At 34.0% G+C, this 26389-nt stretch overlaps 1 long non-coding RNA gene and 9 other non-coding genes across 10 annotated transcripts in view; all 10 read left to right on the forward strand.

Moving 5' to 3' along the window:
- MEG8 (maternally expressed 8, small nucleolar RNA host gene) overlaps positions 1-26389 on the forward strand; it is a 109465-nt gene that overhangs the window by 29787 nt on the left and 53289 nt on the right. The window contains exons 10-15 of the long non-coding RNA NR_146000.1: positions 16337-16446; positions 17968-18053; positions 19445-19521; positions 20930-21015; positions 23327-23403; positions 25374-25490. This is a non-coding gene — a long non-coding RNA (maternally expressed 8, small nucleolar RNA host gene). The remainder of the gene's footprint in view (positions 1-16336; positions 16447-17967; positions 18054-19444; positions 19522-20929; positions 21016-23326; positions 23404-25373; positions 25491-26389) is intronic.
- SNORD113-1 (small nucleolar RNA, C/D box 113-1) lies at positions 5386-5455 on the forward strand. Its single transcript, NR_003229.1, has one exon. It is a non-coding gene; the product is annotated as a small nucleolar RNA, C/D box 113-1 (small nucleolar RNA).
- Positions 7907-7977, forward strand: SNORD113-2 (small nucleolar RNA, C/D box 113-2). Its single transcript, NR_003230.1, has one exon. It is a non-coding gene; the product is annotated as a small nucleolar RNA, C/D box 113-2 (small nucleolar RNA).
- On the forward strand, positions 10484-10554 carry SNORD113-3 (small nucleolar RNA, C/D box 113-3). Its single transcript, NR_003231.1, has one exon. It is a non-coding gene; the product is annotated as a small nucleolar RNA, C/D box 113-3 (small nucleolar RNA).
- SNORD113-4 (small nucleolar RNA, C/D box 113-4) lies at positions 17056-17129 on the forward strand. The gene has a single exon (NR_003232.1). It is a non-coding gene; the product is annotated as a small nucleolar RNA, C/D box 113-4 (small nucleolar RNA).
- SNORD113-5 (small nucleolar RNA, C/D box 113-5) lies at positions 18752-18828 on the forward strand. Its single transcript, NR_003233.1, has one exon. It is a non-coding gene; the product is annotated as a small nucleolar RNA, C/D box 113-5 (small nucleolar RNA).
- SNORD113-6 (small nucleolar RNA, C/D box 113-6) lies at positions 20121-20194 on the forward strand. The gene has a single exon (NR_003234.1). It is a non-coding gene; the product is annotated as a small nucleolar RNA, C/D box 113-6 (small nucleolar RNA).
- On the forward strand, positions 21691-21766 carry SNORD113-7 (small nucleolar RNA, C/D box 113-7). The gene has a single exon (NR_003235.1). It is a non-coding gene; the product is annotated as a small nucleolar RNA, C/D box 113-7 (small nucleolar RNA).
- Positions 24016-24088, forward strand: SNORD113-8 (small nucleolar RNA, C/D box 113-8). Its single transcript, NR_003236.1, has one exon. It is a non-coding gene; the product is annotated as a small nucleolar RNA, C/D box 113-8 (small nucleolar RNA).
- SNORD113-9 (small nucleolar RNA, C/D box 113-9) lies at positions 26214-26284 on the forward strand. Its single transcript, NR_003237.1, has one exon. It is a non-coding gene; the product is annotated as a small nucleolar RNA, C/D box 113-9 (small nucleolar RNA).

Genomic DNA, 26389 nt, shown 5'->3' on the forward strand with positions numbered 1-26389 from the left:
GACGGGGTTTCATTATGTAGGTCAAGCTGGTCTCGAACTCGTGACCTCAAATGATCTGCCCACCTAGGCCTCCCAAAGTGCTGGGATTACAGGTGAGCTTATTAAACAAGTGTGTAAATGAATAAAAAAAGAAAGCCAAGCATGAACCAATGGATTATTATTATGTTTTTGAAGCATTGAAGTCAATAAAATACACACAAGCCCAGGGCTGGATGGTTGCTCTTACTTCTAAGGGAAAGATTTTTACATAAAGAAGAAAATGGAAGAGGACCAGTGTTGAGAATGTGTCAGGTGATAAGAATTAATATTAATCCAGTTCTAGTCATTGAGTTCATTGAATAACAATGAGAATGAAGATCTAGTTGATTATCTCTGTGGGTGATGGGCAGATTGACAGATGTTAGTTTTATTCAGAGTTTTTGAACAGTTTTCTTTGGATTCTCAGCTATGGATTGTAAGGGAATGAATGAATAAGTTTATGTCACAATAAGTTAAAAGAGGACAGATGACAGACCAGTGATGGTCATAAATTTTGAAGCAAGTATTAGGATAATACATTTCTATACTGCTGATGTCCATGTAAAGGATATAATGTCTGGACTCCTAAATGCTTAATGTTCACAGATGTGTTCTTGTTATAGTCAGTTTTGGATGCTGGTAGATTTATCCTTCTTAATTTTCTTTCAAAAGATAGATATGAGATTAAATTAACCTATTACAAATTAAATAGTAAATAAGCAAATAGATGAATACATAAAGAGGGACAAGAAGGATTTGTCAATTAAATAAAATTTTATTTTATTTTAAGAATAAAATAAAACTTAAAAAAAGAATGAGCATTGGTGAAAATGTACCCTGAAACAAAATTTAAGATCAATATAATTCTGAACAAGTGGGTTCCACTACAAAACAGATGGAAGAAAATAACTTCATTCAGTTTACAATTGTTTAATATGTCATTTTTTCACCACTCTTAATTTACACATTCTGCCATTGATAAAGATTTAGGTTTCTAAGCTATTGACAGAGAAAACACAAGTAAGGAAAAAAATGTTGTCAGGGAAGTAAAACAAGTGGTTCCTTTATGTTCTTTGTTAAATGTTTAAAATTTGAAAAAGTTGAGGAAAGGCTAGAGAAAGAGGGCCCTGCCTGGACCACATTGAGTGTGGGACTGTATAAGGATTTTGGTTGGTCCATATGTGTAACAGTGAGATCCACTGTTGAAGGAGATTTGGTGGATTAGCTCTTGGAGAAATTAGCCTACATCTATCAGTTATAATATTCATATATCTTATTCTTGCTTTGTTGTGATTCATGAATATTGATAAAGCAATTTTTGTCAATTAATGAATTAAATCAATAAACAACTGTATAAATAAATAAAAATGTCTCAAAACTAAACCAATGGTAAGTACCCTGAGGTGCTTGAATCAAGGATTTTGATTAAACTATATGACTCTAGGTCCATTATAAAAACAAACCTAATTTACTGCCTCAGTGGGACATGAGCTTGTAGCTGCAGTGAGGAATATAGGCATCTCGTGCTTGGGATTTTGCACATCTGATATGAATCCTATTATTAGTAGTAAATCAGTGCATGAGTAAATAAAGACACATACCAATGAATTCAGCCAAAGAGGGCTGGATATGCACCAATTATGAGAGTATTATTCTAAGTAAATGAAGGAAGGGATTATTTATTTGCTTATTTATTTTTTATTGACAGAATGCTTTTTTATTATCTATAGCATCAAGAACAATACTTCCTTCATAGCAATGACAAAATAAAACTATAATAATAAAATAATAAAAAATAATAAAAATGTTAGCAGTATAGCTAACAATTGTTTACTATATATTAATCACTGAGCAATTTTTTAAAAATTTTCTATTTTTATTTCAATAGTTTTGGGGGAACAGGTGGTTTTTGTTTACATGGGTAAGTTCTTTAGTGGTGATTTCGGAGATGTTGGCGCACCTGTCACCTGAGCAGTGTACAGTGTACCCAATGTGTAGTCTTTTATTCTTCATCCCCTACCAGCCTTCGCCCTGAGTCCCCAAAGTTTATTATGTCATTATTATGCCTTTACATCCTCACAGCTTAGCTCCCACTTATAAGTAAGAACATACAATGTTTGGTTTTATTCCTAAGTTAATTCACTGAGAATAATGGTCTTCAACTCCATCCAGGTTGCTGCGAATGCCATTATTTTGTTCCTTTTTACGGCTGAGTAGTATTCCACAGTTTGTGTGTGTGTGTGTGTGTGTGTATATATATATATATATCACATTTTCCTTATCCACTTGCAGATTGTTGGGCATGTAGGCTGATTTCATATTTTTAAAATTGTGAATTGTGTTGCTATAAACATGTGTGTGCAAATGTCTTTTTCATGTAATGACTTCTTTTCCTCTGGGTGAATACCCAGTAGTGGGATTGGTGGGTTAAATGGTAGTTCTACTTTTAATTCTTTAAGGAATCGCCATACTTTTTTCCATACTGCTTGTACTAGTTTGCATTCCCACCAGCAGTGTAAAAGTGTTCCCTTTTCACCACATCCATGCAAACATTGATTAACTTTTGATAGTTTAATTATGGCCATTCTTGCAAGACTAAGGTGGCATCCCACTGTGGTTTTAATTTGCATTTCCCCGGTAATTAGTGATGTTGAACATTTTTCATATGTTTTTTGGGCATTTGTTTATCTTCTTTTGGGAATTATCTATTCATGTCCTTTGCCCACTTTTTGATAGATTTTTTTTTTGTGTGTTTTGTTTTTTTGCTGATTTGTTTGGGTTCCTTGTAGATTCTGAATATTAGTCCTTTGTCAGATCATAGTTTGCAAATATTTTCTCCCACTCTGAGAGGTGTCTGTTTACTCTGCTGATTATTTCTTTTGCTGTGCAGAAGCTTTTTAGTTTCATTAGGTCCCATCTATTTATTTTTGTTTTTGTTGCACTTGTTTTTGCATTCTTGATCATAAACTCTTTGCCTAGGCCAATAACTAGAAGAGTTTTTCTGATGTTATATTGCAGAGTTTTTATGGTTTCAGGTCTTAGATTTTAAGTCTTTGATCCATTTTGAGTTGGCTTTTGTTTAAGGTGTGAGAGATGATGATCCAGTTTTATTCTTCTACACGTGGCTTGCCAATTATCCCAGCAGCATTTGTTGAATAGGGTGTCCTTTTCCCACTTTATGTTTTTGTTTGCTTTGTTGAAGATCAGTTGGCTGTAACTGTTTGGTTTTATTTCTGGGTTCTTTCTCCTTTTCCATTGGTCTATGTGCCTATTTTTATACAAGTATCATGCTGTTTTGGTGACTATAGCTTTGTAGTATAGTTTGAAGTTGGGCAATGTAATGCCTCCAGATTTGGTCTTTATGCTTAGTATTGCTTTGGCTATGTGGGCTCTTTTTCAGTTCCATATGAATTTTAGGATTATTTTTCTAGTTCTGCGAAGAATGATGATGGTATTTGGATGGTAATTGCATTGAATCTGTAGATTTCTTTTGGCAGTATGGCCATTTTCACAATATTGATTCTATCCATGCATGAACGTGGGATGTGTTTTCATTTGTTTGTGTCATCTATGATTTCTTTCAGCAGTGTTTTGTAGTTTTTCTAGTAGAGATCTTTCACCTCTTTGGTTAGGTATATTCCCAAGCACTTTTTTGTTCTTGTTCCAGTTGCTGTAAAAGGGATTGAGTTTTTGATTTGATTCTTAGCTTGGTTATTGTTGGAGTATAGCAGTCCTACTGATTGCATGAAAGGGATTATTTAAAAGAGGACAAACATAGATGAATAAAGTTAATGTATCATTAAAAATGTTCATATAAATAAAAGGGGACTAGGGTTCTGCACACTGTGGATAAAGAACATAGAGTCAGTTATTTGTAATAATATTGTAGGCCATTTTGCATTTTCCTTGAAGAAAATAAAAATACTAACAAATTATTCCATGAGTGAATAAAAAATAAACAAATAAATGGATTCATAAATTAGGATCAAACATGGACCATTGGTGAAAATGTGTTAAGAAATGGGGACATAAATTTATCCAATTCTAATCAAGGAAGACCTATAAAAAAGATCACCTTGGTTCTTACCTATGTGGGTGGGGCTTAAGTGATAGAATTTGGAACATGCCTAGTTTTTTATTATTTTTTTTAGGGCACAGGTTTGGGAGTTTTCACTATATTGCCTAAATTAGTAATTTAAAAAGTCAATAAATAAAATCAGGGCCATTCTTGGGCTAATGATGGGAATTTGACAAAAACTGGAGTTTTTTTTTTCCATAAATTTGGTACAACAGGACTTAGGTCCCTTAAAAAAAATCTAAATCTGTGCTGCTTCTTGAATTTTCTAAAATCTAGTTTTTACTCCACATTCTGTATGCCAGATCTGACTTATTTGTTATCCAATGATGGAGATCATGGCTGTCACTTATGTGGATAAGAAGCAGAGAGGCACGTTAAGTAACAGAGTTCTTGTTCTTGCTTTGAAGGGGGCTATTCATGTTGTCCATGGAATTAATTCAAGGGAATGAATGGCTACCACAAACATAAATAGAATTAAAAAATGCTGAGAGAGTGGATGTGAAGTGTTCTCACCACAAAAATGGCAACTACGAGAAGTAATGGTTATATCAATTAGCTAGAGTTAGTCATCCGACAATGTATATATAATTCAAAACATCATGTCGTATGCGATAAATACACATAATTTTATCTGTCAATTAAAAATAAAATAATAAAATCAAAACCAATTAAACAATGCCATGCATGGGCAAATATTGGGAATATGTAATGAACCATAGGTTAAGATGAATTCATTTTAGTACAGCTGAAGTCCCTTACAAAGATGAATTTATTTTGGTACAACTGAAATCCCTTACAAACATAATTGGAGGGGGTTGTATTCATTTTCACAGTTGCTTAATATTCTACTCTATTGTGCACCGTATTTTAAGAAGATTTCTCTATTGATAAAGATCTAGGCTTTTTCATTGGTGGGGAGGGAGCACCTACAAATACTGAACAAATTGCCAGTGTTCCAGTTGTGGAATGAGGTGATAGGGTGTTCATTGTACTGCTATTAAGTTATGAGTAAATTAAGCGAAAGACGATTGAGCAAAGAGCAGTAGCACACGGGATGGTTAGGAAGCAAGGTTATCGATTAATTATAGGCACAGTCTGAGGCCCAATTAAAAAGAGATCTCGTCTACCAGCTCTGTGGGAAACAAGCCTGGAAATAGCATTCTGCAGCAGTCAGAGGTCTTGTTCTTGGGTTTTTGTGATTCATGGATATTAAATTATTTTGTGGGTGAAACCATGAATGAAATAATATGCATAATCAATAAACAGTGCATAAGTAAATACATGAGGAAAAAGTGAGTGATGAATAGTTCTGTGGCATATGAATCATTAATTTTGATTAAACCCTAAACTCTGAAGTCCATTAGAAAGAGACCTTGCTCTTCTCTGTAAGAGAGTGGAATTCAGAGTAAAAGTTCAGTTTCTTGGGCTTTAGTGCTTCCTAGGTAGGGATCATAAATGAATCGATGAATGCATTAACAAAGAAATGTGTAAGTGAAGATAAAGACTGTCATATGTGGACCATTTATGAGAGCATGTCATGAAACAAGTATTTCTAGGAATATATTTGTAGAATACTGAATTTCAATATAACATATAGGCAAAAGCTGTCATTTGGAGTACATAGGAGCTGCAGACACGCAGAAGCACATGGACAGATGCATCTAAGTGTCCATGTTGGCATTCTGGATTGGTAAGAGGTTGCTAGCTGTCAGCTTATTGAGAAGGAAAAATATTTACACAAACAAAAGATTACATGACTGTAATAGAAAAGGAGCAAATATGTGCCAATTTGAGGATGTGTTACATGACACCAGTTATGATGGATCTAATTGTATCCACTGAATTTTATAAAAAGCGACAAAAAATGGCAAGGGATAGAGTCGGTTATTTCTATGGGTTGTTTTGTTTTGTGTTCAAGTTCAAGTGTAGAGTCTGGGATCTCTGGTAATTATATATTGTTTTTTAAGTTGAATGAATATAATTATATCTCAAGGGCCAACTCTGGACAGTGTGGAGCATGTGATGTGGAATAAAGCTTATGACTAATCCCGTTCTACCCTACTGGTGTCCTTATAGAGAAAGTAGGATCTAGGCGCTTCTAACTTGGGTTAACTTGGGTTAAGTTCATAGAGAGGGATCATAGAATATTTCAGTTCTGGGCTGCTGGTGGGTTTACCATATTTTATTGAGAGAGGGCCAAACACGAACCAATATTCAGAATGTGTCGTATGACCAGGGTTATAATTAATCCAACATTATTTAGTGAGTTTTATTTTTAAGAAAATTAAAAGAGGATTTTTTGGGCTGTAGCTATGGGCTATGAATATGTAGACAGATATTGACAGTTCTTATCCTTTGTCTTGGAGTCCATTGTTATTGATATGTTGTTCTAAGGGAATAAAGGAGGTTATTCATATCAAGATCAATTATTTAAGAGAAGGCCAAGCATGGGCCAGTGAGGAACAGGTGTTATGAACCAAAGATAATGATTACTCCAGTTATACTCTAATGTTGTCCAGATAAATAGAGCTCCAGGTTGCCCCTGCTTTGGATAAAGCACACATTGAAATTTCCATGGAGTAATTCTTTAGAAAAACAGATATGTAATTTATTCCATGCATAATTGTATATATGAGTAAATAAGTGAATCACTAGACATGTAAATCAGAAAGATTTTGCATCATTAATGAGAATATGCCATAAAACAAAGGTTTACATTTATCTAATTTTGCACAAGTGAGATCCACTAAAAGTGATCACCTATCTGGTAAATTTATGGATCTGGAGTATGTAGACAGATATTTATGATAGATATGGCTCTTATTCTCATGTTGATATTCATTGTATTATTTAAAAGCCCAAACTACACAAGTCAATAAATAAGGAGTGCCATTTTTGGGCAATGATGAGATGACCGAAGTTTATGATTAATCTAATACTGCCAAACAAATTTCCATTAAAAAGTCTAACTGTAGGGTCTTTCTTTCTCTTGAAAGTATGTATTTTACTTCACCAAATGAGCACATTATGGTGAAGAACTGATTTAGTCATTCTCTAATGCTAAAGATCTTGCCTTTTACTTCTGTGGGTAAGGAGAGAAGAGATTTATGTAAGTAACAATTAGTGTTTACTGTTCTTGGATTGGGAGGTTGGTTCATGGGTGTTGCCTGAATTTATTAAAATAATAACTGGATATATTAATAAATAAAACTAGGTAACACCAATATGTACCAGTGATGAGAATATGTTCAGAATTGGGATTTATGATTAATCTGATTTGGTACTAGTAAAATTCAATAAAAAAGATACAGGGTATTTCATTCATTTTCAGAGATGATTCAGATTGTTTTATTATTGCGTTGTGATTCAGTTAAGTACCTCTCCATTGATAAAGATTTAGGCTATTAATTCCTTGAGGGAGGAGCACATAGGAAGATGGACAGTGTTGTCAGTGTTCTAGTTGTGCAGTAAGATTATGATTCCTTGGTGATTCATTATACCATATTTGGCACTTGAAAAAGGACCAACCGTGGACCAGTGAGTAGCATGGAGCTGACATGAAAGAAGGAAGTTGATTAATTTATAAGTGCCAAAAGTGCATATATGTATATATATGTATACAAACTCACACACACATATGTTGCAGAAAGTGACTTCCATCTATTAGCTCTTTGGTCAATGGACATATATACAATCATTAGTATTCACAGATGTTGTTCTTGAGCTTTTTGATTCATGAGAATTGATTATACTATTATTATTAATGAATCAATGAATAAAGAAATAAACAATGCATAAAGTATGTCAAGTATAGCCAATCATTAGTATTCTGAGCTGTAGGAATCAAAGATTTTGATTAGATTCTGTAACTCAGAGGTTTATTAGAAAAAAGAAACTAGTTATTTCGTCTGTGGGAAAGGGGCTTACAGCAAAAGTTAGGAATAGCCAAAGATCTGATTCTCAGTTCTTCATGCCTGTGAACTGTATGAGAAGTGAACCAATGCAAGAATAAAGATGTAGAAATTAATGATGGCTAATTATGCAAGTCTTTAATGAAACAAGGGTTATTACTAATTATTGTTATTTTCTGAAGCACTGAGTTTCATAACATAAATAGATTAAGTGTCCCTTACTATTTTCCACAAAAGACATATCTAATTTCACGAGAGTCCCTGTTGTAATTTTGGATTGATGTTGGGTTGTCGGTTTTATTTAGAAAAGAAACAAATCATTTACATTAAAAGTAATTGTTCCAATAATTGCCTAATTGAAAGAAGGCCAGGTGTGGACTAATACTGAGAATATGACCATAGGTCTTATTAATCCAATTCTGTTCACTGAACATTATCTAAAACAACAAAAATGATCTAGCCATTTGTATTTTTGGGCAGTGAGCATACAAACAGATATTAGTCAGTGTTCTTGTCCATTGTCTTGGCTTTTATTCATTTTGATGTATTGTAAAAAGTGAATGAATAAATGAGTTTGCGTTTCAATTATTTAAAAGAGTATGGAGGATTGGCCAAAGTGTCATCAAACAAAAATAACAATTAACCCATTTTTACAGATGAAAAATAAAAGAAATCTACATGGATCCCACTTTGGACAAAGTGCGTGTCAACAGTTGCATGAAATGGTATTTCACTTCTTGATTATTGTTTGTTTTTATTCTTTTTTTAGAAAAAATGAATAAATGATCAAATTATTTTGGGGGTAATTAAATAAAAGAAAGAACACAAGTGAGTCAGTAAATGCTTAAATTAAGGTAGATCTTGGATCATTGCTTCATGGCACACTCTCAGAAATGCTCAAATATGGTGCCTTAAAAAAATTAATGAGGTTTGGGTGTTGATGTGGTTAGGGAGTATACAGATAGATAGTTGTTAGTGGTTACATTTATTACTCTTGCATTGGGTGGATTTAAGGGTTCATTATATTAAGAATTAAACAGTAAGTAAATTCATACATAAAAGGTATGGTTATTCTTGAGTCAATAATGAGAATGTGTTAGGAACCAAGGTTTATGATTAATCTAAAATAATTTCTAAAAGAAGTTAAGTCTTTGCTGTTTCGTTCTTTCTAAAATGTGTATTTTCCTTCACACAATGAACATGCCACAGCTAATTATTCGATAACAATAAAGACATTGGTGTTTTGCCTCTGTGGTTAAGGAGCTCAGAGTCTGTTGTAGATAATAGTTAAAGTTCATGTCCTGGGTTTAGGTGGCTTGTTCATCACTAAATTATGTTAGAAGAATAAACCGCTAAATATATACATATATAAAAAGCATACCATACAAGAACCAATAATGGAAGTGAACCAAGGTTTATGATTAGTTTAATTCAGCCCAACTTAGGTCCATTACAAATGATGGAGGGCTTTTATTAATTTCAGAGGTTTTTAATATTGTATTTTATTTTGTGCCGTGGTTGATTTACACACATTTCTTTAAAGTTAAAGATCAAGGCTATTCACTCCTCTAGGGAGAAGCAGATAGGAAAAGGAAGATAGTGTCAGTGTCCTCATTGTGAGTTAAGATGGTGGTTCACAGTTGTTCATTCTATTGTATTATTATCTTTTGCTGTGTAATGAATTACTGAACAATTTAATGGATTAAAACAACAATAAACATTTGTCATTTCTCACGGTTTCTATGTGGCAGGAATCCAGGAGAGGCTTACTGGGGGCAGTTTTAGCTTAGGGTTTCTTGTGAAGTTGCAGGCAAGATGTCAGGTTGAGTTGCAGTCATCTGAAAGCTTGACTGTGCTAGAGTGTCTGCTTCACTTACATGGCTGGAAAGTTGGTGCTGATTGCGGGAAGCCACAGTTTCTTCACAAATAGACTCTTCCTCAGGACTGCTTGAGTATCCTTACAACATGGCAGTTGATGTCCCCTAGAGCAGTCAATCTAAGACAGAGAAAGGTGGAACCCTCAATGTATTTTATAATCTAGCTCCAGAAGTCATACACCATCATTTCCACAGTATTCTGTTGGTAATACAGGCGGTCATGATTTAATATGTAAAGAAGCTACACAAGGCTATGCATAACAGGAGCATGGGCCTTGGGAGCCATTTGGAGGCTGGCTACCTCATGTACTATCTTTAAAATATGGACAAATTAAATAAAAGAAAGTCTGGATGAAATATTAATGTGAGATTGGTATGAAGCAAGGAAGTGTAGTTAATTATTTGTATAATGCTTGGATCCATTCTGAAAAAATGCAGTATCACTTCTATGGAAAATAAGCTTATAGATCTCAGTAATATTCAAGGATCTTGTTCTTAGTTTTTTTTGATTTGTGTCTATTGGCTTTGTTGTTAGTGATTCAATGAGTGAAACAATAAACAAAGGTATGAATGAATGAATAAAAAAGAAATGCTAGGCCTAGACCAATGATGAGTATTCTGGGGTGTCTGAATCAATGATTTTGATTAAACCCTGTAACTCTGAGGTCCATTATAAGAGGAGACCTAGTTAATACCTATATGGTAAATGATATTATAGTGGAAGTTAGAATTATTTGGGATTTTGTTCTTAGGTGGTTGAAGTTCATAGGTGTGGATTGTATTACTAGAAAAGATTTAGTAAATGAAAAATGAAACAAATATGTAAATAAAGGAAGACAAGTAGAGCCATATGTTGCCTAATTATGAGAATGTATAATGTATTTATTATTATTAACACACTTCTGAAGCACTCAGTTTCAACATAAATTGATTAAATCTGATACCTATTTGGGTAAGGAATATACATACAGAGACAAGTACCTAGAAATCAGTATTGTTTGTCCTGCATTATTTAGATGTTGCTGTTTCTTAATGAACACAAGAAAATATGATCTAGTCTGGGAATCATGAGCAAATGACAGGTGTTAACGCCATTCATATTTCTGATGCAATCTGTATGTTCACAGATATTGATGATGTCATGAGTGAATGTATACACAGGAGTGAATGTATTCAGTTATTTGAGGAAGGTAAAGCAGTGTTTCTTGACTTTGGCTCTATTGACATTTTGGGTAATTCTCTATGGTGCAAGATTGTCTTGTATATTGTAGGGTGTGTAGTAACTTCATTGGCTTCTACTCAGTAGATGCCAATGTTGACCCTCCTCCCAGTGTGACGATCAAACATTTCTTCAGACTTTGGCAAATTTCATCTGTGGGGGGCAACATTGTCCCCAGTTGAGAACCACTGAGGTACAACATGGACTGAAGAGGAGCATGTGTTAAAAACGTGTGAATTATTTATCCTGTAGTATCTTACTGATGTTCAGATAAAGAAAAAGCAAAACAAAAGACCTAAAACTAGGCTCTTCCCCCACGGGGTCAGGTTCATGTGTATAGTTGCATTTAATTGTATTACGATTCTGGGTTGTTGATGGGCTGATCATACTGTGTTTTCTCCGAAAAAACAAAGAATTGTTCATGAGTACTTACTAAATGAATAAGTGAAATGACAAATGAATAAAGAAACACATAAAGGAGAGTCTAGCATGGACTATTTTGGTGAAAATTTACCATAAAAAAAGTGGTTAAATTTACCTAATTCTGTACTGTATAAATGAGATCCATTATTGGGAATAAAGTTCAGATTTTTACCATCTGGGTAGAAAACACATAGATGGATACTTGTAGTAGCTTTTATTCTTGTGTTGGGTGCCAGATAAATCAGTAAATAATATTCCAGGCCATTCTTGGGCCACTGATTAAAATGTGGTGTGAATAAGAGTTTATAATTAATCTAGTACTGTCCTACAAATGTCCCTTGAAAGATTTAAATGCATGTAGGCTGTTCTTTCTTAAATCTACTCTTACTTTACACAATAGATGCACCATACCTGATTTAATTATTTTTCAGTGGTGAAAATTATGGCTTTTACTTCTGTGGGTAAAAAGTGTAGGAATGGATTTAAGTTAATTTTTATATTCTTGATTCGTGTGGGCTTGTTCATGCTTTTTATTATTTTAGAGAAATAAATGGGCACATATTTAAATAAAGTAAAAAAGCTCTGTGCTGTGATCGCGCCACTGTACTCCAGCCTTGGCAACACAGTGAGACTCTGTCTCAAAAAAAAAAAAAAAAAAAAAAAAAGCTCTGTGCATTGCCCAGTGATAGAAATGATTGTAAACAATAACAAAATTCTATTTCCATTCGACACAACTGAGAACATTAAAGAAAATAAGTTAGAGGGTTTTTAAATGACTTTTAGAGTTGAGGATTATTCCATTTTATTTTTGCACCATAGCTAACTTATATTTCCTCAAGTGACCTAATCTGTTGAACATATATATATATATATATATATATATATATATTTTTTTTTTTTTTTTTTTTTTTTTTTTTTTTGAGACGGAGCCTCTGTCTGTCACCAGGCAGGAGTGCAGTGGTGAGATCTCGGCTCACTGCAATCTCCGCCTCTTGGGTTCAAGCGATTCTTCTGCCTCAGCCTCCCGAGTAGCTGGGACTACAGACACGTGCCACCATGCCCAGCTAATTTTTGTATTTTTAGTGGAGAGAAGGTTTCACCGTGTTGGCCAGGATGGTCTCGATCTCTTGACCTCGTGATACGTCTGCCTTGGCCTCCCAAAGTGGTGAGATTACAGGCGTGAGCCACGGTGCCCGGCCAATCTGTTGAATGTTTAAGGGCAGTACATAGACAATGGTTTATATTGTCAGTGTTCCTATTGTGGGGTAAGATGGTGTGCTCGTGGTCATTTATTGTGCCACATTTAAAATACAGACAAATTAGGCCGGGCACTGTGGCTCACACCTGTAATCTCAGCATTTTGGGAGGCTGAGGCATGCGGATCACCCGAGGTCAGGTTGCCCCGGCTGGAGTGCAGTGGTGCGATCTCGGCTCACTGCAACCTCCGCCTCCTGGGTTCAAGCGGTTCTCCTGCCTCAGCCTCCTGAGTAGCTGGGATTACAGGCACACACTGCCACGCCTGGCTAATTTTTTGTATTTTAGTAGAGACAGGGTTTCACCGTCTTGAACTCTTGAGCTCAGACAATCTGTCCGCCTGGGCCTCCCAAAGTGTTGGAATTACAGGGGTGGACCACCGCGCCTGTAATTTTGGGTTCACAGCAAAATTGAGCAGAAGGTACAGAGATTATTTCCCATATGCCCTTTGTCCTTCTGCATGTATAGCCTCCCCTGTTATCAACATCCACCCCATTAGAGTAGTGCTTTTGTTATAATCTACATTGGCATATCATAATCACCCAAAGTCCATAGTTTACAATAGGGTGCACTCTTGGTGTTGTACATTATGTGGTTTTGGACAAATTTATAATGACATATATCCACCATTATAGTATCATACAAAATACCACAATGCTCTGAACATCCTCTGGGTTCTGCCTAGTCATCCCTCCCTCCCCTACCAACCCGTGGCAACCACTGATCTTTTATTGTCTCTGTAGTTTTGCCTTTTCCAGAATGTCATACAGTTGAAATCATACAATACGTGGCCTTTTCAGATTGGCTTCTTTCACAAGTACTCTGCATTTAAGGTTCTTCCATGTTAAGCATAGCTTGATCGCTCTTTTTTTTAGTGCTGAATAATATTCCATTTTCTAGGTTTACCACAGTTGATTTATCCATTCACCTACTGAAGGATATCTTGGTTTCTTCCAAGTTTTGGCAATTATGAAAAAAGCTGGTATAAACGTGTGTGTGCAGGTTTTTGTGTGGATATAATTTTTCAACTATGGGTAAATACCAAGGTGCATGATTGCTGGATTGTATGGTAAAACTATGTTTAGTTGTAGAAGAAACTGCCAAACTGTCTTCCAATGTGATTGTGTTGATTTTGTATTCCTACCAGCAATGAATGAGAGTTCTTGTGACTCCACGTTTTTGCCATCATTTGGTGTTGTTAGTGTTCTGCATTTTGGTCATTCTAATAGGTGTGCGGTGGTATCTCGTTGTTTTAATTTGCATTTTCCCAATAATATATGATGTGGAGCACGTTTTCATGTGATTATTTGCCACCCTTATATCTTTGTTGGTGAGGTGTCTGTTAAGGTCTTTGGCCCATTTTAAAATCTGATCACTTTCTTATTGTTGAGTGTTTTTGTTTGTTTGCTTGTTTTTGAGACAGAGTCTCACTCCGTCACCAGGCTGATCTTGGCTCACTGCAACCGCCATTTCCCGGGTTCAAGCGATTCTCCTCCCTCAGCCTCCCAAGTAGCTGAAACTACAAGTGCTCGTCACCATGCCCAGCTAATTTTTGTATTTTTAGTAGAGACGGGGTTTCACCATGTTGGCCAGGATGGTCTTGATCTCTTGACCTCGTGATCTGCCCACCTTGGCCTCCCAAAGGGCTGGGAGCCACCATGCCCAGCCTATTGTTGAGTTTTAAGAGTATTTTGTGTATTTTGTATAATAGTGCTTTATCCAATATGTCTTTTGCAAATATCTTCTCCTAATTTGTTGCTTGTCTTTTCATTTTCTTGACAGTTTCTTTATGGAGCAGAAATTTTGAAAGTTCAAAGATCAGTTGATTATATTTATGTGAGTCTATTTCTGGGCTTTCTACTCTGTTCCATTGATCTATTTGTCTGTTCTTTTGCCAATACCACACTGTCTATTACTGTAGCTTTGTAGTAAGTTTTGAATATGGGTATTGCCAGTCCTCCAACTTTGTTCTTCTCTTCAATGTTGTGTTGGCAATTCTGGGTCTTTTGCCTCTCCATGTAAACTTTAGGACAGTTTTGTCAATATCCACAAAATAACTTCCTGGGGTTTTTATTGGGATTGCATTGAATCAAGCTGGGAAGAACTGACATCTTGACAATATTGGACTTTCCTATCCATAATCTCCATAACTTCTTCCACAATGGCTGTACTAAATTACATTCCTACCAACAATGTAGAAGAGTTCCCTTTTCTCTGCATCCTTGCCATCATTTGTTACCTTTCATTTTTTTGATGAAAGCCATTCTAAAAGATAAGAGATGATATCTCATTGTGATTTTAATTTGTGTTTCCCTAGTGATTAGAGTGACTGATAATTTTTTTATATATCTGTTGGCCATTAGTATGTCTTCTTTGGGAAAATATCTGTCCAAATCATGTGTCTATTTTTAAATTGGGTTTTCTTGCTATTGAATTGTTTGTGTTCCTTATATATTTTGCATATTAACCCCTATGAGATGTATGGTTTGCAGATTTGTTTTCCTGACCTGGAAGTTGTCTCTTCATTTTGTTAATTGTTCCTTTGCTGGGCATAAGGTTTTTAATTTGATGACATTCTACTTGTCTATTTTTACTTTTGTTGTCTGTGTTTTTGGGGTCTTATTAAAAAAATCATTGTCTATGCCAATGTTGTGGAGCTTTTCCTCTAGTAGTTTTATAGTTTCAGATTTTATGTTGAAGTTTTTAATCCATTTTGAGTTGATTTTTGTATATTGGGTGAGATAAAGATCTAATTTCATTCTGCATGTTGATAACCAGTTTTCCCAAAACCATTTATTGAAGATACTGTCTTTTTCCCATTGTGTTCTCTCGGCACCTTTGTCCAAAATCAATTGATTGTAAATGTGTGAGTTTATTTATGAACTTTTAATTCTGCTCCATTGGCTGATGTATCTGTTTTTATGCCAGTATTATGCTGTTTTGATTATAATCACTTTATAATATATTTTGAAGTCAGGGATGTAATGCCTCCAGCTTTGTTCTTTTTGTTTAAGATTTTTTGTATGTGGCTATTCAGTGTCTTTTGTGGTTCTATATGGATTTAAGGATTTCCCCCCCTATTTCTATGCAAAATGACATTGGAATTTTAATAGGAATTGAATTGAACCTGTAAATGGGTTTAGGTAGCATAGACACTTTAACAATTTTAGTTCTTTCAACCCATGAACACAGGGTATATTTCCATTTATTTGTGTTTTCTTCAATTTCTTTCACTAGTGTTTTATAGTTTTCAGCATACAGGTCTTTCACCATCTAGGTTAAATTTAGACAATATTTTTGGTGCTATTGTAAATGGGCTTATTTTCTTCATTTCAAGTTAATTACCTATTAGGATATAGAGTCACTACTGAATTTTTTTTGATGATTTTCTATCCAGCAATTTTACTGAAGTCATTTATCAGTTCTAACAGTTTTTTTTTTTTGTGTGAGGTAGTTTGGATTTTCTGTATATAAAATCGTGTCATCAGCAAATAGAGACAATCTCACCTCTTCTTTTTTCTATAAAGATGCCTTTTATTTCTTCTTGTTCTTCTAGGATAAGTCTACTTTTCTTCCACGTAACAACCACAGGATAGATGACATTCATTTTCTAAGAAACAAAATCTTGGCAGTTAGATCCGTGGGGTAAAGAATATAGATACTAATGTAAGTTAACACCTCAAGTTCATGTCCTTGGTTTGGATGCTTTGTTCAGGAGTGTTTAGTGGTATTTCAAAGGAATCAATATCTATAACAAATTAAAATAACCAGGAATGGACCAGTGATGGAAATGTGTTCCGAAAATATGTTTAATATAATTTGGCACAACTGAAGTGATAAAAATATAGTAGTTAGACCATTTATATTCACAATTATTTAACATTGTATCTTATTTTCTACCTCAAATGATTTAATCTTTTCCATATTGGTATGGTCCTGGCCGATAACTCTTTGTGTGGCAGCCTGAGAGAATATGGAAGACACTGTCAGTGTTGGAAGATGGTGGTTTTATCACTTTTCATTGCACTGTCTTTAAAACATGGGCAAATTGACTAAAAGAAGACTACAGAAGAAATAATGGTGATTGTGAATTTGGTATGAAGCATGGATGTTAATTAATCACACATGTTCTCTGAGGTCCATTGTAAAAGGAGACCTAGTCTTCAGGGAGAGAGCCACTAATGGGGAGATCTTATTCCTAGAATTTTGTGGTTATATTATTATTCATGAACCAATGAATAATAAATGAATGATATAAAGGAAGAAAAACGTGCTTGGACCAATGATGAGTACCATGGGGTATCTGAAACAGGATTTTTGATTAAACCCATATGCAATTCTGAGGTCCATTACAAAGAGACACGTATTATTCCTTTTTTGGGAAGTGAGCCTATGGTACCTTTTCCTTGGACTTTGTGGTTCTTGGGGATGGATTGCATTTTTGTTATAAAATCAGCCCATGAATTAAAAATTTATCAATGAGTAAAACATAAAGCATAAGTCATGTACTTATTATCAGTGACTGTAATGAAACATGGATTATTATTAAAACTTATCTGAGACTCCCAATAAATTAATACCCAAGGCTTCTACCATTCTGGTAAGGAGCATATGGTCATTTGTATGCAAGAGTCAGTTTTTGTTCTGTGTTGGTGGTGGGTTGCTGACTATTTTATGAAGAAAATGAAGCATCTTTAATCATATAAATAGTTGGTTAAATAACCACTTAATTGAGACCAAGCAGAGACCAATGATGAGTGTATTAATCTATTTTTTAATGGATTTTTATTAAACAAATAATAAAAGAAACACAGTCTATTCTTCCTGAGGGCAATAACTCTAGACAGATGTAAATATTCTTCAGTGTTCTTGTCCAGTGCTGTGAGATCACAGATACTGATGTCTTTTGTATATGAGAAGGAACTTGCATTTTTATGTCTCAGTTTATATTTTAGAGTCAGCAAACCATGGACCAATTAGGAACAAATGTTATGATATGAGAATGCTGATTCTTGTTTTTTTTTTTCATGATAGACATTCTAAGAAAAACTCTAGGCTCTCTCATTGTTTTTGGAATACATACATGGTTCTTTCCAAGTAGTTTCTTAGAAAAATGTTTTTAAAAAGAGGCTTTTAAAAAGAGCCTTTTAAAATGTTTTTAAAAGAAGGCTTTATTTTTCTCTATAGAATGAAAACCATGTAGCTGGTCTTATTATTCTCTAATCATGAAGACCATTATTGTTATTTGTGGACTAAGGAGCAGAAAGACTGATGTAAGTAAACATCAAATTGATGTTTTGGGCTTGGACTGTATTCATTCATGGGAACCCACTACATTATTTTGATAAAATAAATGGTTAAATAACACATGAAATTAAGGAATGCCAGTCATGGACCTATGATTGTAATGTGTCATCAACAAAATTTTATGATTAATTCAACCCAACCCAACTGAAGACCATTGTTAAATAAAGGAAGAGCATTTCATATATTGTCATAGTAATTTAAATTCCCATTTAATGTTTTTGCTATAGTTGCTTAACATATTCCTTCACGGACAGACATTGAAGTTGTTGAGTTTTTGAGGTAGAGGTACCTTGGGAGATATTATATATTAATTTGCTTAATTGTGGGCTCACATGGTAGATCCATGGTTTGCAATCACATTAATGAGTAGACAAATCAAGTGGAAGGGAAGCTGGTAGACACCAATCATAAGTATGAGATTTAAATGCAGCAGAGTCGCTGATGAATCTCTATGTGTAAACTTGAGGTTGATCACAAAATATGATCTAGTCTATTTGTTCTGCATGAAAGAGAGTAATGAACAGATCTTGGTTCTATTAAAGACTTCTGTTCTCAGTTTTGTGTCATTAAGGGATATTGATCATATAATTATTATTCCTGAAACCATGAATGACTGAGTCAGTTCAACAAGGTATAAATGAATGAAGAAATAGAATGCCTAGCCTGGATCAATGATGAGTATTGGTGGAGGTGTCTGAATCAACACTTTTGATTAAGCCCTCTGTGTAACTCTGAGATCTGTTATTGAATGAGAACCAGCCTATATTCTCTGTAGAAATTACCTAATAGAAGTTAGGAAAATTCAATAAAACTTGTTCCTGAACTTTTGTAGTTCAAAGATATGGAATGTATTATTTTAAGTGAATTCAATGCGTAAATAGAGAAATGTGTATACATGAGAGAAGATTAACAGTCCTACTTATGGAACTATTCTTTGAGTACAATGAAAAAGTATTATAAATATTAACACTGGCAATAAAACAAGTATAATTATTAATCTGAGGTAAAATCCTATTATACAGAACATATTGTATCTGCAGTTGAGACAATTTTTTTGGTTTTATAGTTTGCTTTTTTTTTAATTAAGAAAAGGGAAAGTGTTTGCATCAGCCAGAAATCCATTAAGTAATATCTACTTAACAGATTTTTATATAGACAAATATTCATAATCATTACAGATCTTATTCTTGGGCTAGGTGACGCATTAGTGTCTATTATACTATTTAAAACTAAAAGTTCAATACTGGCCTGAAAAAATTGCATTTTTGAGCCAAGGTTTATTGTTATCTAGTTCTGCTTGACTAACATCCATTGAGAAAACCGTATATCTATTCTAAATCTGCCTTTTTCCCTCCAGAGTGGACATAGGCCAGCTGATTTAATAATTTAAGAAAGAACTGTTATCCTGAGTAAGGAGCATAGAGACAAATATAAGTAAGTTCCTTATTTCAAGTTCTTTCTTTGAATGGTTTGTTTTTGGGTGTTAGCTAAAGGATTTCAAAGGAATCAATGTCTACATACGTGAAATAAATAACACACCCCAAATGCACCAATGATGGGAATGTGTAATGAACCATGAATTATGTTTAATCTAAATCGTCACAACTGAGTTGATTATAAAAGAAGACAAAAGTTAACTTATTCTCAGAGCAGCTCAACATTATTCTTTATTTCATGCCATGGTTATTTTACACGTTCCCTTATGGGTAGAGATCCTGGCTGACATCCGTTTTGGGGCAGCGCATGAGAATATGGAAATAGGTGATTTCGTTGTTTTTTATCAGGCCATCGTTGACATATGTATGAATTAAATAGAAGTGGGCTATATCAGAACGAATGCTGAATGTGAACTGAGAGCATGCAGGGGCATTGACCAATTCACATGTGCACCTTTACGTGTCATGGCCTAAGAAATGTAGTCTAGCTCTATGGGCCAAGAGCCTAAAATTTAATGATCTTGTTTTGGGGATTTTTGATTGTATCGTTATTTGTGAGTCAATAGGTCAATCAATAGATGAAAAAAATGCACATCATGGACCAGTGATGAATATCATGGGGTTTCTGAAACAACATTTTTGATTAAACCCATCTGCAACTCTGAGGTCCATTACAAAGAGACACCTCTTTATTCTTCATGGAAAATGAGTCTAGGACCTTGTTCATGGGCCTTTTGTGGTTTGAGGGTATGAATTAATTATTATAATAAACTTAGTCCATGAATATAGAATTTTATCAATGAATGAAGAATAAGAAAGGTATGCATGCACTTACCTACTAAGGCATGTAATGCAACATGGATTATTATTGAAACAATTTTGAGGTTCTTAGTCCCAATAAATTAGTGGCTAAGGCTCTATTCATTTTGGTAAGGAGCATATGGTCATCTGTGCACAAGACTGAATGTTTTTGTTCTGTGTTGAGGCAGGTTACTGGTTGATCATTTTATTAAGGAAAAAGAAATACATTTACATAAATAAATAGTTGACTGAGTAACTGTAATTGAGAGAGGGAGAGCATGGAATGATGATGAGATCTATATACAACGACACTCATGATTAATTCAGTCTTTTATGGAATTTTACTTAAGCAAACAGACAAGTTTGGTACTAGATTCACAGCGTTTATTATATTATCTAAAACAAAAAATTTCATGGTGAGAGATATTTCATCTTGACAAAAACAATTTATGTAAGTTAATAAATAGAAGTGTTCTCTCTTCTCAAGTGTTCAGAATAGGGTACAAAACAAGGTTTATGATTGTTTACTACAGAGCTATGATTCATTTTAAAGAGCTAAACATATAGTATTTGATTCTTTTTAAAATTTGCGTTTTATGCTGCAGAATGAACGCACTCTACCTGATTTAATTATAGTCTTCTGGTGAAGATCTTGCTGTTATCTCTGTGAATCAGGAGAGAAGAGATTGATGTAAGTAAAAATCAAACTTTGTGTTCTCGCTTGGGAAACTTGATCAAGTTTATTCATTGAATTATTTCAAAGGAATAAAAGGCTACATACATAAATGAGTCAAAGGTGGTTATGCATGGAACAATGGTAGAAATGTGTTATGAATTAAGAATTATGATTAATCCATTTCAGCACAACGAAATTCATTAGGACAAAAAGTTGAAAGGTATTTCTGTCATTTTCAGAATGCCTTAATATGCTGTTTTTGTACCATAGTGGATTTAAATACTTCCCCATTGTGATTGTTATTGACAGTTAACTAATTGAGGGAAGAACATAAGAAAATGGAAAACCTTGCCTATAGCTGTGGTATAACTTGGTGGTTATACCATGATATAACCATAGTAACGTCTTAAAAATACGGATGTTAAATGAAAAAAGCCCAACCATGGACTAATGGAATATATGGAATTGACGTGGTGCAATTTGTGGAATGAATTAATTCACCTTTGCAATACTGAGGCTCATTACAGAGAGAGCCAGTCCTCTAGTTCTGTGGAATATGAATCTTACAGACATAGTTACTTCTTCAAGGATCTTTTTGCCCTCTAATTCATGGATAGTGATTTTACTATTAGTGAATCAATGCCTAAATCAAGAACAGTATAATTGAATTAAAGCACAGAATACCAAGTCTGGATCAATGATGAGTATGCGTGGGGCATCTGAATCAAATATTCTGATTATACCCTGTCTGTATCTCTGAGGTCCATTGCATCTATGGGAAATGTGCTTGGAGAGAAAGTTAGACATATTCAAGGAATATGTTTTTGGTCCTTTTTGGTTAATGGGTATAGATTGTATTATAAGTAAATCAATGAATGAATAAAGAAAAATACAAATAAAGACAAGGAAGGCTTCATTTCATTCAATTATGAAAGGAGCTAATGATGTTTTGAGTTTATATAAGTCTGCTCCTCCTTCGAGAGCATATAGATAGATATGCACTCAGTGTTCCGAGTTAGTGGCAAGTTTCTGGTTGCGTGTCTTGTTTGATTTAGAAAGGGATAAAACATATACTTAAATGATGTATTTAGTTTAATAATACTTAATATAATAAATATTAGCCAATAAAATTAACATTCATATTCAATAATAACAATATTGCAAATCATGCTAAACACATTAACATAATTTTTATAATAAACAACAATTTAATACAATTAATAATAAACACTAAAATACTAATGATTAGGTTGTGAAATGTGGAGAAAGTCTAAGGATGAACGTTGAAAATTTGAATATAATAACCAAAAATCCTCTTATGTTTGCTCATTTTTATTTAAAAAGAAAAATGCAAATGCATTTTTATGACTTTCATGAGTAATAAGTGAATAAATAGATGCTAGTGTCATGAAGGGTTTTTGTCCAGTGTCTTCTGAATTCATGAATAGTGGCACTATTATTATGAGTAAAAGAATCATTTTATATCTCCATCCCTTATTTAAAAGAGGGCAAATCATGGACTAGTGAGAAGCATATGTAATGTATGAAAGGGTGTGATTAATCTTGTCTATCCTCTTGAGGTTTACTTAAACAAAAAGGTCCAGGACCCTCCTTCCTTTGGAAGGGTTGTGAAGACCCACTCTCTAGACATATTTTGATATTAACATTTAAATGGAAATTAATTAAAAATAAAAATTCAGTTCCTCAGTCGCACTAGCCACACCCCAAGCCACATGTCGCAAGTGACCACCATTTCAGAATTGCCAATAGAGAACACTCGTATCACCGAAGAACGTTCCCACAGTGCATACAGGGCTAATATGAACAGTTGCAGGTAATAGTATTTAATTTTAGGTAGCAGGTGTCTTCACCATTTTGAGTTTTCTTTAGAAAGGAGAGTAGATAATTAAATTATTTTTTGAGTTATTAAATAGATGAGTAAATAAACAAATCAGTAAATAGTTTGAATTAAAATAACTGTGGCCCACTGGTCAGATTGTGTTATAAAACAACAATTTAAATTCGTCTTATAGTGCAAAAGTTTTCCTCATTAAAAATGTGTCTTCCCTTTATGCTAGGAATACCTAGGCAGATATTGAAAACTGCTCTTCTAGTGTTTGGTGGTAGATTCAAAAATGTTCATGATATTATTTCATGCTAAGAATTATGTCAATACATGAAAAAGAACTACTGTTGGGTTGATGATTAAAATTTGACACAAACCAATGTTTATGATCCATCCAGTAATGGAGAACTAACTTCTACTTAAAAATGGATTTTAAAATGTACACTTTTTATTCTTATAAAAATCTGCCTTTTCCTCCAGAAGGAATAGACGAGATTGGATTTGGTCATTTCCCCAAGGTGAAGAGCATGGCGATTTCTTCTGTGGTAAGGAGCAATGTGAGTAATGGAGTTTCTGTTGGTGGGTTATGTGGTTGGTTCATGTGTGATTATTGAAGAAAGGAACAAAAGGCCATATACACAAAAATGAAAACATCAAGTAACAACCAATAATAGGAATGTGTTGTAGGCCAAGGAGTAGGACTGACCCATTTCAGCACAATAGAGACTTATTTTTTAAAAAGGTAGAAGGAATTTAATTTTCAGAAGTGTTTCATATTTTGTAGTATTTCTGCGCCATACCTGATTTAAGCATTTCCATATTGGAAGAGATTCAGGCTGTTAACTGTTCAGGAGAAGCTCTTGTAAGGTGAAACATGCTGTTTGTGTTCTAGTGGGGGATACCATTGTGGATTTTCATTGTTCATTATACCACCTTTAAAATTAGGCAAATTAAATGAACATAGCCCAGTCATCGGCCATTCATGTTGATAGTACTGATCTGAAGCAAGATTTGTTGATTATTCCATGTGTGGCACTGAGATCTAGTCTGACAGCTTTGTGGGAATTGAGCCTAGAGATATATTGTTGTGATATCCAGGATCTTGTTCTTAGAATTTGTGATTCATGGGAAAATGAAGGTATACATGAATGAAGAAAGAGTGCCAAGCCTGGACCAATGATGAGATTGGAGGGTGTCTGAATCAAAAATTTTGATTAAAGCCATCTGTAACTCTGAGGTCCATTTTAAAAAGAGGCCCCCATTTTTCCCTCTAGGGAAATGAGCTTATAACACAAGTTCAGAATATTCAGGTATCTTGATCATGGGTGTTCATAGTTTTTTGGTATAGATTCCATTTTATAAGTAAATCAATGCATAAATTTTGCATAAATGGGTAAATATAAGGAGAGCTTGGCATTGACCAATTATGAGAGTATGTAATGACGAATGGATTATTATTATATGCTTCGATAGCACTGAATTCCAGTGATATATAATGATAGAGGCTGTTGCCTTGTTTTGGAAGGCGTATGTGGACAGATGTATGCCAGACACAAAATAATTGTTTGATGTTGATGGTTGTTTACTGATTGGTTTTATTTAGAGGAGGGAAAATTGCATAAATAAATAATAGATGAAACAGTTATTTAATTGGAAATAAATGAGCATGTTTCAACTTGAGAATATTCCTTATGAAAAGTTATTATAAATCCAACTCTGTACTGAGTTTTATTAAAAACTAAAAAAAGCATCTAGTTTCTAAATCTTGTGGATAGCATAATGGACATATGGAGACATAATATTATTCAAGCTTCTTCTATAATGTAAGTAAATTCCTATATATTGAATTGTTACATGTGAATAGAATATGTCCTTGTCACAATTAATTTTTTAAAAGAGGGCGTAACACAACTGAGTGAGAAATGAAAATGAAAGTTAGTCTTTTTCTAAACTACTGATGCTGTCTTCCTGGTTAGGTGTGGGAATATAGACATTGAACATGAAAAGCATTTCTGTTGTGGGTTCTTCATGAGTTTACTGCTCTGTGTGTGTGTGTGTGTGTGTGTGTGTGTGTGTTAGTATTTGTGAATGTATAATGAAATATTCCATGCGTCATAACATAAACAAATCAAAACAATAAATGAATTCATATATAAGTAGGGTAAAGCATTTACCATTGGTGATAATATGCCATGAATCATGAATTTAAATTCATCCATTTCTACACATGTTGAGTCCATTAAATAAAAAAGATGATCTAAAGCGGTTGCCTGTGTAGGTGTCTATAGACAGATGTGTGCCATAGTCATAGTTTTTGTTTTGGGTGATGAATTTAACAGTGTTTATTGTATTATTTAAAGTTAATAGTTAAATCAGGAAATAAAAATAAGTGCAGTTCTTGGGTCAGTGATAAAAATGGGATTTGAATCAACTTTATGATTAATTTAATATCACACAACTAATGTCTTTTAAGTCAATCTAAATCTGTACTGTTCATTCTTTTGAAAATTTGTATTCAACTCCACAGAATGAAGACCATGGTTGATTTAATCAGTCTCTGCTGATGAAGATCTTGGCTGTTACCTTTGTGTGTAAGGAAGCTAAAGACTTAAGTAAATAACAGTCCAAAAACTTGTCAATTAGGGTAAATTTTTCATTAATGTTCACTGAATTATTTAAAGTTAAGGCATATGTAGATCAATGAGATGAATGTGTTATGAAACTTAGATTGTGGTTAGTCCAATTAAGCACAATTTTGGTTAAAAATAAGATGAAAGACATTTTATTCATTTTTTTATCTGATTAATAATTCATCTTATTTTGTACTGCATTTAATTTAAGATTTATTCACTAATAAAATCTATGGCTGCACTGTTCAATGTCGTTTCCTCTATCCACATGTGGCTATTTATATTTAAAATAATTAAAGGTACATGCACTTTTAAATGTAATTTCTTGGTTGCATTAGCCACATTTCTAGTGCTCAGCAGCTGTATGTTGCTATTGGTGACTGTAATGGAGAACGCAGTTACAGTACGTTTACATTATATGCAAAGTCCTGTTAGACAGCTCTTTAATGAGGGAGGAATGCATGGAAAGGTGGAAGATAAGTGGAATGAGATGGCTAGGAAGCAAGGATGTTCATTGATCTATACTTGCTTCACTGTGGGCCACTACAAAAGGAGATCTAGTCTATTGAGAATAGGGCTAGTCTATGCGAAAAGAGCCTGTAAACAGATCTTGGTTATATTCAAGGATACTGTTTGTGGATGCTAAAATAACAATGGGTATTGATTTTATTACTGCTACTGAATCAATGAATGGATCAATAAACAAAGGTATAAATGAAGGAAAAGATTGCTTATCCTGGATCAATGATGAGTACCCTGGGGTGTCTGAATCTTGGATTTTGATTAAACCCTATAACTCTGAGGTCCATTACAAAAAGAGTACTTTTCATTATGTCTATGGGAAATGAGCTTATTCCAGAAGCTAACAATAATCAGGATTTAGTTTTTGGGCTTCTGAGTATGGACTGTATTA

The sequence above is a fragment of the Homo sapiens genome, chromosome 14 (assembly GCF_000001405.40).
Source record: "Homo sapiens chromosome 14, GRCh38.p14 Primary Assembly".
In the NCBI taxonomy this organism is placed as follows: Eukaryota; Metazoa; Chordata; class Mammalia; order Primates; family Hominidae; genus Homo; species Homo sapiens.